Genomic DNA, 12,440 nt, shown 5'->3' on the forward strand with positions numbered 1-12,440 from the left:
GCTTGAGTAGCCAAACAAAATGGCTGGGAAGCTCGAACTGGGTGGAGCTCACCACAGCTCAAGGAGGCCTGCCTGCCTCTGTAGACTCCACCTCTGGGGGCAGGGCATAGCTGAACGAAAGGCAGCAGAAACTTCTGCAGACTTAAACGTCCCTGTTTGACAGCTCTGAACAGAGTAGTGGTTCTCCAGCACAGAGTTTGAGATCTGAGAACGGACAGACTGCCCTCTCAAGTAGGTCCCTGACCCCCGAGTAGCCTAACTGGGAGACACCTCCCAGTAGGGGCCGACTGACACCTCATACGGCTGGGTGCCCCTTTGAGACAAAGCTTCCAGAGGAAGGATCAGGCAGCAACATTTGCTGTTCTGCAATATTTGCTGTTCTGCAGCCTCCGCTGGTGATACCCAGGCAAACAGAGTCTGTAGTGGACCTTTAGCAAACTCCAACAGACCTGCAGCTGAGGGTCCTGACTGTTAGAAGGAAAACTAACAAACAGAAAGGACATCCACACCAAAACCCCATCTGTACGTCACCATCATCAAAGACCAAAGGTAGATAAAACCACAAAGATGGGGAGAAACCAGAGCAGAAAAGCTGAAAATTCTAAAAATCAGAGCGCCTATTCTCCTCAAAAGGAATGCAGCTCCTCGCCAGCAATGGAACAAAGCTGGACAGAGAATGACTTTGATGAGCTGACAGAAGAATGCTTCAGACGATCGGTAATAACAAACTTCTCTGAGCTAAAGGAAGATGTTCGAACCCATTGCAAAGAAGCTAAAAACCTTGAAAAAAGATTAGACAAATGGCTAACTAGAATAAACAGCGTAGAGAAGACCTTAAATGACCTGATGGAGCTGAAAACCATGGCACAAGAACTACGTGACACATGCACAAGCTTCAGTAGCAGATTCAATCAAGTAGAAGAAAGGGTATCAGCGACTGAAGATCAAATGAATGAAATAAAGCGAGAAGAGAAGTTTAGAGAAATAAAGTAAAAAGAAATGAACAAAGCCTCCAAGAAATATGGGACTATGTGAAAAGACCAAATTTACGTCTGATTGGTGTACCTGAAAGCGACGGGGAGAATGGAACCAAGTTGGAAAACACTCTGCAGGATATTATACAGGAGAACTTCCCCAACCTAGCAAGGCAGGCCAACATTCAAATTCAGGAAAAACAGAATGCCACAAAGATACTCCTCGAGAAGAGCAACTCCAAGACACATAATTGTCAGATTCACCAAAGTTGAAATGAAGGAAAAAATGTTAAGGGCAGCCAGAGACAAAGGTCGGATTACCCACAAAGGGAAGCCCATCAGACTAACAGCAGGTCTCTCGGCAGAAACTTTACAAGCCAGAAGACAGAGTGGGGGCCAATATTCAACATTCTTAAAGAAAAGAATTTTCAACCCAGAATTTCATATCCAGCCAAACTAAGCTTCATAAGTGAAGGAGAAATAAAATCCTTTACAGACAAGCAAATGCTGAGAGATTTTGTCACCATCAGGCCTGCCTTACAAGAGCTCCTGAAGGAAGCACTAAACATGGAAAGGAACAACCAGTAACCAGCCACTGCAAAAACATGCCAAATTCTAAAGACCACTGATGCTAGGAAGAAACTGCATCAACTAATGAGCAAAATAACCAGCTAACATCATAATGACAGGATCAAATTCACACATAAGAATATTAACCTTAAATGTAAATGGGATAAATGCTCCAATTAAAAGACACAGACAGGCACATTGGATAAACAGTCAAGACCCATCAGTGTGCTGTATTCAGGAGACCCATCTCATGTGCAGAGACACACATAGGCTCAAAATAAAGGGATGGAGGAAGATCTACCAAGCAAACAGAAAACAAACAAACAAAAAAAGCAGGGGTTGCAATCCTAGTCTCTGATAAAACAGACTTTAAACCAACAAAGATCAAAAGAGACAAAGAAGGCCATTACATAATGGTAAAGGGATCAATTCAACAAGAAGAGCTAACTGTCCTAAATATATATGCACCCAACACAGGAGCATCCAGATTCATAAAGCAAGCCTTAGAGACTTACAAAGAGTCTTAGACTCCCACACAATAATATTGGGAGACTTTAACACCCCACTGTCAACATTAGACAGATCAACGAGACAGAAAGTTAAAAAGGATATCCAGGACTTGAACTCAGCTCTGCACCAAGCAGACCTAATAGACATCTAGAGAACTCTCCACCCCAAATCAACAGAATATACATTCTTCTCAGCATCACATCACACTTATTCCAAAATTGACCACATAGTTGGGAGTAAAACACTCCTCAGCAAATGTAAAAGAACAGAAATTATAACAAATTGTCTCTCAGACCACAGTGCAATCAAACTAGAACTCAGGATTAAGAAACTCACTCAAAACTGCTCAACTACATGGAATCTCAACAACCTGCTCCTGAATGACTACTGGGTACATAACGAAATGAAGGCAGAAATAAAGATTTCTTTGAAACCAATGAGAACAAAGACACAACATATCAGAATCTCTGGGACACATTTAAAGCAATGTGTAGAGAGAAATTTATAGCACTAAAAGTCCACAAGAGAAAACAGGAAAGATCTAAAATTGACACCCTAACATCACAATTAAAAGAACTAGAGAAGCAAGAGCAAACAAATTCAAAAGCTAGCAGAAGGCAAGAAATAACTAAGATCAGAGCAGAACTGAAGGAGATAGAGACACAAAAAACCCTTCAAAAAATCAATGAATCCAGGAGCTGGTTTTTTGAAAAGATCAACAAAATTGATAGACCACTAGCAAGACTAATAAAGAAGAAAAGAGAGAAGAATCAAATAGAAGCAATAAAAAATGATAAAGGAGGTATCACCGCCAATTCCACAGAAATACAAACTACCATCAGAGAATACTATAAACAGCTCTATGCAAATAAACTAGAAAATCTAGAAGAAACGGATAAATTCCTGGACACACACACCATCTCAAGACTAAACCACGAAGAAGTTGAATCCCTGAATAGACAAATAACAGGCTCTGAAACTGAGGCAATAATTAACAGCCTACCAACCAAAGAAAGTCCAGGACCAGACGAATTCACAGACGAATTCTACAAGAGCTACAAAGAGGAGCTGGTACCATTCCTTGTAAAACTATTCCAATCAATAGAAAAAGAGGGAATCTTCCCTAACTCATTTTATGAGGCCAGCATCATCCTGATGCCAAAGCCTGGCAGAGACACAACAACAACAAAAAAGAGAATTTTAGACCAATATCAATGCAAAAATCCTCAATAAAATACTGGCAAACCGAATCCAGCAGCACATCAAATAGCTTATCCACCATGATCAAGTTGGCTTCATCTCTGGGATGCAAGACTGGTTCAACATACGCAAATCAATAAATGTAATCCATCACATAAACAGAACCAAAGACAAAAACCACATGATTATCTCAACAGATGCAGAAAAGGCCTTTGACAAAATTCAACAGCCCTTCATGCTAAAAACTCTCAATAAACTAGGTATTGATGGGATGTATCTCAAAATAATAAGAGCTATTTATGACAAATCCACAGCGAATATCACAGTGAACGGGCAAAAACTGGAAGCACTCCCTTTGAAAACTGGCATAAGACAGGGATGCCCTCTCTCACCACTCCTGTTCAACATAGTGTTGGAAGTTCTGGCCAGGGCAATCAGGCAGGAGAAAGAAATAAAGGGTATTCAATTAGGAAAAAAGGAAGTCAAATTGTCCCTGTTTGCAGATGACATGATTGTATACTTAGAAAACCCCATCGTCTCAGCCCAAAATCTCCTTAAGCTGATAAGCAACTTCAGTAAAGTCTCAGGACACAAAATCAATGTGCAAAAATCACAAGCATTCCTATACACCAATAACAGACAAACAGAGAGCCAAATCATGAGTGAACTCCCATTCACAATTGCTACAAAGAGAATAAAATACCTAGGAATCCAACTTACAAGGGATGTGAAGGACCTCCTCAGGGAGAACTACAAACCACTGCTCAACGAAATAAAAGAGGACACAAACAAATGGAAGAACACTCCATGCTCATGGATAGGAAAAATCAATATCGTGAAAATGGCCATACTGCCCAAGGTAATTTATAGATTCAGTGCCATCCCCATCAAGCTCCCAATGACTTTCTTCACAGAATTGGAAAAAACTACTTTAAAGTTCATATGGAACCAAAAAAGAGCCTGCATTGCCAAGACAATCTTAAGCCAAAAGAACAAAGCTGGAGGCATCACGCTACCTGACTTCAAACTATACTACAAGGTTACAGTAACCAAAACAGCATGGTACTGGTACCAAAACAGACATATAGACCAATGGAACAGAACAGAGCCCTTAGAAATAATACCACACATCTACAACCGTCTGATCTTTGACAAACTTGACAAAAACAAGAAATGGGGAAATGATTCCCTATTTAATAAATAGTGCTGCAGCACTATTCACAATAGCAAAGACTTGGAACCAACCCAAATGTCCATCAATGATAGACTGGATTAAGAAAATGTGGCACATGTACACCATGGAATACTATGCAGCCATAAAAAATGATGAGTTCATGTCCTTTGTAGGGACATGGATGAAGCTGGAAACCACCATTCTGAGCAAACTATCGCAAGGACAGAAAACCAAACACCACATGTTCTCACTCATAGGTGGGAAATGAACAATGAGAACATTTGGACACAGGGTGGGAAACATTACACACCGGGGCCTGTCGTGGGGTTGGGGGAGTGGGGAGGGATAGCATTAGGAGATATACCTAATGTAAATGACGAGTTAATGGGTGCAGTACACCAACATGGCACATGTATACAGATGTAACAAACCTGCATGTTGTGCACATGCACCCTAGAACTTAAAGTATGATGTATAATTTAAAAAATAATAAGTGGATTCCATTTAAGTTTTTTTTTTTTTTTTGAGATGAAGTCTCACTCTGTCACCCAGGCTGGAGTGCAGTGGCACAATCTTGGATTACTGCAACCTCCACCTCCCAGGTTTAAGCGATTCTCCTGCCTCAGCCTCCCAAGTAGATGGGATTACAGGCATGTGCCACCATGCCTGGCTAAATATTTTTTTTTTTTGTATTTTTAGTAGAGATGGGGTTTCATCATGTTGGCCAGGCTGGTCTCCAATCCCTGACCTCAAATGATCAACCCACCTAGGCTTCCCAAAGTGCTGGGATTATAGGCATGAGCCATAAGATTTTAGTAGGTGGCCCAAAACTGACTGTTGTTTCTCTTTTTAATTATTGTACATACCAAAATAATGAAAAGAGTAAATTTCAAATGTCTCACTATAAAAAATGTTAGGCAAGTGAGGTGATAGACAAGTTAATGATGGGTTAATGTGTTTGATTTAATCAATCCACCTTGTATACAAACATCACATCACATTGTACACCATAAATGTATACAATAATGTATCCATCAAAAATAACAATAAAAACTGAAAAAAATATTAAATATACCTTGGAATCCTGATACTATTTGGACGACATCTTCATATACCATTAGAGTGGCAGAGCGTTCTGGAAGCAGGCCAAGGCTCAGAGAGGAAAATACTGCAGGAAAAAGAAATGGATAGAAGGGGATTTTAATAGTCATATTTAAGTGCCTACTCTAATTTTTGGGATACTCTGCAGTTTTTGTATTTTCTGATTTCAAATCAATTAATACAATTAATTTTTAGTTAGATTAGCAAAAGACCTTCAAAATGCTACAAGTGTATTGCAGTATCTCATATAACAATTACTTGCCTTACAATGGTCATCTTTTTTCATTTGTTAGAAGTTTTCTTTTTTTTTTCTTTTTTCTGAGACGGACTCTCGCTTGTCACCAGGCTGGAATGCAGTGGCGCAATCTCAGCTCACTCTAACCTCCGCCTCCCAGGTTCAAGCGATTCTCCTGCCTCAGACTCCCGAGTAGCTGAGATTACAGGCACCTGCCACCATGCCCAGATAATTTTTGCATTTTTGGTAGATACAGGGTTTTACTGTGTTGGCGAAGCTGGTCTCGAACTCCTGACTTCGTGATCCACCTGCCTTGGCCTCCCAAAGTGTTGGGATTACAGGCGTGAGCCACTGCGCCCAGCCAGAAGTTTTCAGTAAAGTAACTAAGCCTCTTCACATTAGGAGTATATGAAAGTTATCATGTATACACTACATGAATGTAGAATACATAATGTTAGATGTTAACATTAAGAATGGCTTTAAAAATACGTGTCTAGGTTAATGTGTACCTCATGGTAAAAGAATATTCCCCCAATCCTGGGAACTAATAACATGATAGAAATTGTGCTTTTCATTTTTATTTTTTTGAGACACGGTCTCACTCTGTCACTCAGGCTGGAGTGCAGTGGCACGGTTAGAACTCACTGTAGCCTCGACCTCCCAGGCTCAAGTATCCCTGCTGCCTTAGTCTCTCAAATAGTTGGGACCATGGGTGTGCACCACTGCACCCAGCTAATTTTCAAAATTTTTTGTAGAGACAGGGTCTCCATATGTTGCCCAGGTTACTCTCAAACTCCTGGGCTCAAGCAATCCTTCCCACCTTTGCCTTCCAAAGTCCTGGGATTATAGGCTAGAGCCACTGCACCTAGCCAAGTTATGCTATTTTCAAACTCTTGCTTAAGTACCTGGATTTCTAAAAAATTTTAGAAACCCCACAAATTTCTGGGTAAAACATGAATTTAAGAGAAAAACAAATAAATGCATTATAGAATAATAATCATCACTCACATTACTGAACCTTTACTAACAGGACAAACAGTATTCTAAGTGCTTTAATTTTAGTAATTTATTTAAGCTTCAAAACAGCTCTATCACTTAGGCATTATTATTATTATTTTTGAGACAGAGTTTCACTCTTGTTGCCCAGGCTGGAGTGCAATCGCGTGATCTTGGCTCACTGCAACCTCCGCCTCGCAGGTTCAAGTGATTCTCCTGCCTCAGCCTCCCGAATAGCTGGGATTACAGGCACCTGCCACCATGCCCAGCTAATGTTTTAAAAAATATTTTTAGTAGAGACAGGGTTTCACCATGTTGGCCAGGCTGGTTTCAAACTCCTGACCTCAAGTGATCCATCTGCCTTGGCCTCCCAAACTGCTAGGATTACAGGCATCAGCCAACGTACCTGGCATCTGAAGTAGGCATTATTAACATGCCCATTTCACAGGTAAGGAAACAGGTTTACAGATGAGGAAGTAACTCACCCAATATCCCACAGCTAATAAATGCCAGGGCTACGATTTGAACTCTGGAGTTCTCAACCACTATGAGACATGGAAAAGTTGGCCTAGAGAGGTAAATGACATTCTGGGAAAACATCAGGATCTAGAAGATAAGTGCTAAGAAGATCAGTCACTTCACAGTGCTGGCTCTTTTTTTTTGAGATGCAGTTTCGCTCTTGCTACCCAGGCTGGAGTGCAGTGGTGCAATCTTGGCTCACTCCAGCCTCTGCCTCCCACGTTCAAGCTATCCTCCTGCCACAGCCTCCTGAGTAGCTGGAATTACAGGTGTGCATCACCATGCCTGGCTAATTGTGTATTTTTAGTAGTGATGGGGTTTCGTCACATTGGCCAGGCTGGTCTCAAATTCCTGGCCTCAAGTGATCTGCCCTCCTCGGCCTCCCAAAGTGCTGGGATTACAGGCATGAGCCACCGTGCCCGGGTAAGCAGTGCTGGCTCTTAGTGCCATAGGGCACCAGTGAGTTGGCCGTGGATGTGACCTCTTTTCACTCAGCCTCCACACAGTCAATTTATTTAGCTGTCATCATATACGAGGCTCAGATCTACACCCTGGGTGGAACAGATCAGTGTTAGAAGCAGCCTGTGCCTTCAAGAGTTATGCATTGCAAGGGTACTAGACTTGAAACAAGTAGCTGTACGACACGCAGAATGGGCCAGGTACCAGGAGAAAGACAAGAATAGCAGCTTGGTGCTGCAGAAACAGCCTGGGAGTTCCTCAAATATTAAACACAGAGTGACCCCAGGATGCAGCAATTCCACTCCTACGTATAAACCCAAGAGAACCGAAAACCTACGTTCATACAGAAACTCACACATCGATGTTTGCAGCAGCATTATCCGTAACAGCCGAAAAGCGGAGACAACACACGTAAATGTCTATCGGCTGATGAATGGATAAAGTGTGGTATTGTCTATATGAGGGAATATTATTCACTCATGAAAGGGAAGGTGCTACTGACATGTGCTACAACGTGGATGAATCTTGGAAACATCAGGCTGAGCGAAAGACGCCAGACACAAAAAGCCACGTATTCCAAGATTCCAGTTCTATGGGATGTGCAGAATAGGCAAATCTAGAGAGACAGAGGGTAGATTAGTGGTTGCCAGGGGCTGGGAGGTGTGGGAAAGAGTGAGTTGGTGCTAATAGGTATGGGGTTTTGGGGGTGAGGAAACATTCTGCAATTAGTCACTGTTGGGAGGAACCCCAACTTGGGTAAATCCCGCATGACCACTTCGTAGGTAAACTATTATCAGCGATCCTTTCACCTAAGGCACAGGGCACCTCCTGGCGAGGAGGAATGGGCAGGATTGTCCTAGCAGATGCTGCTGGTAGGAAGCAGCACACCTCAAAACCCGGGCTAGGGTTACACTCCATGCCCTCCTAAACGAGGATGCCTGGGTCTTCCTGCTCCATTGCAGAGCTCCCGTGGCGACTGCAGACATTTACAAGGCCCTGACCACCTCTGAGCTGACCGGTTTGGGGGGCTCGGAGCTCCGAAATCACCTGTGATCATCCCCTGAGAGGTGTGTGACCATCGCAGTGTGTTTTGAAAATGTTTCTCACCTAAAATATTTGGTACTTTCATATATAAGGCAGCTGCTCTGGCAAATTGTTTCTCAAACTTTATTTCCTAAAGGAGAGAAAAATGATTCCTTGTTTTACTTTTTTAGGCCTTTCTTTGAATTCTAAAACACATGATTTCTTGTAACAAGCTTGGCACCAGCAGGGACTTCCCGGGGCAGAGGACAGGGACTAGGGATGCAATCAAGCAGTGCCCAGGTGGGTGAAGGCAGCAGAGAGACGGAGATCCGTGGGTAGTGCTGCTTTTTTCCCATCACAGAGGGGAGGCTGATTGATGTCTGGAGGTGCTGTTCATACCAAGTAGATTTTTTTTTTTTGATACCTAGAGGGAAAGGAACATCTCATTCTACCCAGGAAAGGCAGGAAGATTTTTTGACGCAGAAAACAGTCCAGCTGGGCTTTATGGGATAAAAGAAGTTTGCCGGCCAGGCTTGGTGGCTCATGTCTGTAATCTCAGCACTTTGGGAGTCCAAGGCAGGCGGATCACAAGGTTAAGAGATCAAGATTATCCTGGCCAACATGGTGAAACCCCATCTCTACTAAAGATACAAAAATTAGCCAGGCATGGTGGCGTGCACCTGCAGTTCCAGCTACTCGGGAGGCTGAGGCAAGACAATCGCTTCAACCCAGGAGACGGAGGTTGCAGTGAACCGAGATTGCACCACTGAGACTCTGTCTTGAAAAATAAAACAAAACAAAACAAAACAAAAACAAAACCACAAATTAGCTGAGTGTGGTGGCGTGCACCTGTAATCCCAGCTACTTGGGATGCTGAGGCAGGAGAATTGCTTGAACCTTGGAGGTGGAGGGTGTAGTGAGCTGAGATTGCACCACTGCACTCCAGCCTGGGTGACAGAGTGAGACTTCATCTCAAAAAGAAGAAAAAAACCCAAAAAATTTGCCAAGAGAACAATGCAGACAAACACAGACAGGGTAGAAATGGCAGACTCCTTCACAGAATGACATGTTGCCCAGGGCGGCCGACCATGAGATATGGAAGGGAGAGGTGGCCAGGGGAGGAGGCTCCGTGTCACGTTTACTTCATCCTGAGGCCACTGAAGAATTTTAGGCAGGTACATATTTTAATACATGAACTGCACATATATATTTTCATACACAAATGCTCAGTCATATTGTGGGTGGTCTGTGGGGTAGAACAACTGGACTGGAGGCCATTGCCATGGTCCTGGACCATCGCTAAGGACCTGGGCCAGGGTGATCGCTGCAGAGACAGCAATAATTAAGACGTAGAATGACAGCCTTTAGTGGATGGACTGCATCTCCTATGGCTAAGTTTATTCTTACCTGCCTGCCACGGGTGGAGGGTGTTTTCCTTATGCTGGGTTCCTCCCTCTCCTCCCTTCCTTGAAAGTGAAAAAAACCTCAACACATCCTCCAGGAACTATTGTTAAGGATGAAAAAGGAAATCCGTTTCTGGGTTTCGTAAGAATGCTCATGCACACACAAGCAGTGTGCTGCACACGTGTGGGAAAGAAGGCATTTTTTAGTTTCAAATTTTCAACATATTTTAGAAGAGGCTCCCAGCTCTTCTCACTTCCTTGCCCAGTTATCTGCAATACCAGAAGTGTTAGTGTTCATCTCCAAAAATATGCACAAAAGCAAATTGACTCTGCTTTTCACAATAGGCTAAATTTTTTTGTCTAAATTTTGGAGATGTTTCCTGTTAAGTTCTAGTTAAGAGCATAACATGGTTTGGATCTGCGTCCCTGCCCAAATCTCACGTCGAATTGTAACCCCCAGTGTTGGAGGTAGGGCCTGATGGGAGGTGATTGGATCACGGGGGCAGTTTCTCATGAATGGTTTAGCACCATCTCCTGGTGCTATTCTTGTGATCATGAGTGAGTTCTCACGAGACCTGGTTGTTTCAAGGTGTGTAGCACCTCTACCCTCTCTCTCTTCCTCCTGTTCTGGCCATGTGAAATGTCTCACTTCCCTTTTGCCTTTTGCCATGATCGGAAGCTTCCTGAGGCTTCCCCAGAAGCAGAAGATGCCATGCCTCCTGTATCTCCTCCAGAACTGTGGGCCAGTTACACTTCTTTTCTTTATAAATTATCCAGTCTCAGCTATTTCTTTATAGTGGACTAATACAGAGTATCTTTATTATATTGAAAAGGCAAAGCGCAGAAAAATAATCACAGACATGGGAAGATTTTTAGAAATTATTTAGACTAATTAACTTGATTTCAGAAACAAACACAAGCTCAGAAAGTGCTGATGGGCCGATATGTGTGGGGCCAGCCAGGGGTGGGCAGGCCTGGGACCCAGGTGTCTTCATGCCTTGTCCAAAACTCAATTAAACTTCATTATTCCTATGACTTGACTCATTTGTAATAGTACAGATATCAGCCGGGCACAGTGGCTCACGCCTGTAATCCCAGAACTTTGGGAGGCCGAGGCAAGTGGATCACCTGAGGTCAGGAGCTCAAGACCAGCCTGGCCAACATGGCAAAACCCCATCTCCATTAAAAATACAAAATTAACCAGGTGTGGTGGTGTGCTCCTGTAATCCCAGCTACTCAGGAGGCTGAAGCAGGAGAATTGCTTGAACCTGGGAGGTGGAGATTGCAGTGAGCCAAGATCACGCCACTGCATTCTAGCCTTGGCCACAGAATGAGACTGTCTCCAAAAATAAAAAAATAAAAAAACAGATATGATGGGAATGGTTTTTCTCAAATGACCATGTTAACAGAGTCAAAATGAATGTGATCAAAGTGTAGTAGCTGCTCATTATTCACCAATTCTGTATTTGTAAACCTCCCTACTTGCTAAAGCTTATTTGTAACCCCTAGATGTATTCAGGGCCAAGCTTTTCATGTCTTTAAGCATTCTGTTGGTGATTTTGCTATTTACTTATTTATTTTTAGAGATGGAGTCTCGCTGTGTCATCCCGGCTGGAGTGCAGTGGCTCCATCCCAGCTCACTGCAGCCTCCACATCCTGGGTTCCAGCTCCTCTTGCCTCAGCCTCCAGAGTCGCTGGGATTACAGGCATGATTCTACCGTTTCAAATGACCCCTAGTGTAGTGCTGTCTAATGTTCCTAAGCAGGAGGAGGTTGTGACTGTGCCTTATGGAGAAAACATGTGTGTTCGATCAGCTTTGTTCGGGCATGAGTTATGGTGCTATGGGCTGTCAGTTCAATGTTAATGAATCAACAATCTATATATCAAATAAGATTTCTTTAAACAAAGACAACACAAAACAAAGGCACGTACTATTGATCGGTTCATGAAAATGTTGTGACCAGAGGCTTGCAGGAACTCAGCCCTGCGTTTCCCTTGTAGCAGTGGTTCAGTATTTGCTCAGTCCATGTTTGAGGTGGCTATGGACCATAACTACTGTGAACAACGACAATTGACTGATGGGCTTTGTGTAGCTGTTCTCCTGAAACAGGCAGAGACAGCCTAAACGTCCCTCAGTGATTTCCAGTGACTTCTCAGCATGGACCATGGGAGTGTCAAATGCTTCCTTTATTTTAATTTATTTTATTATTTTTTGAGACAGGGTCTTCCTCTGTCACCCAGGCTGGAGTGCAGTGGCACCATCTCAGCTCACTGCA

General features: G+C 43.0%; 1 protein-coding gene across 3 annotated transcripts in view, besides 1 other annotated feature; it reads right to left on the reverse strand.

Annotated features, from left to right (window-relative positions):
- Positions 1–12,440, reverse strand: part of FAM171A1 (family with sequence similarity 171 member A1) — a 162,912-nt gene that overhangs the window by 58,709 nt on the left and 91,763 nt on the right. For all 3 annotated transcript variants that reach the window (XM_017015904.2, NM_001010924.2, XM_011519378.3), the window contains exon 3: positions 5,504–5,596. In XM_017015904.2, coding sequence (XP_016871393.1) covers positions 5,504–5,596 — 93 coding nt within the window. The remainder of the gene's footprint in view (positions 1–5,503; positions 5,597–12,440) is intronic.
- Positions 10,722–10,801: an enhancer, noted in NCBI's record as "active region_3094". NCBI's record gives its function as "activates an Ori minimal core promoter by ATAC-STARR-seq in GM12878 lymphoblastoid cells {active_cell/tissue: GM12878}" and the evidence as "EXISTENCE:reporter gene assay evidence [ECO:0000049][PMID:35858748]".

This window comes from Homo sapiens, chromosome 10 (genome assembly GCF_000001405.40).
Source record: "Homo sapiens chromosome 10, GRCh38.p14 Primary Assembly".
Classification (NCBI taxonomy): domain Eukaryota; kingdom Metazoa; phylum Chordata; class Mammalia; order Primates; family Hominidae; genus Homo; species Homo sapiens.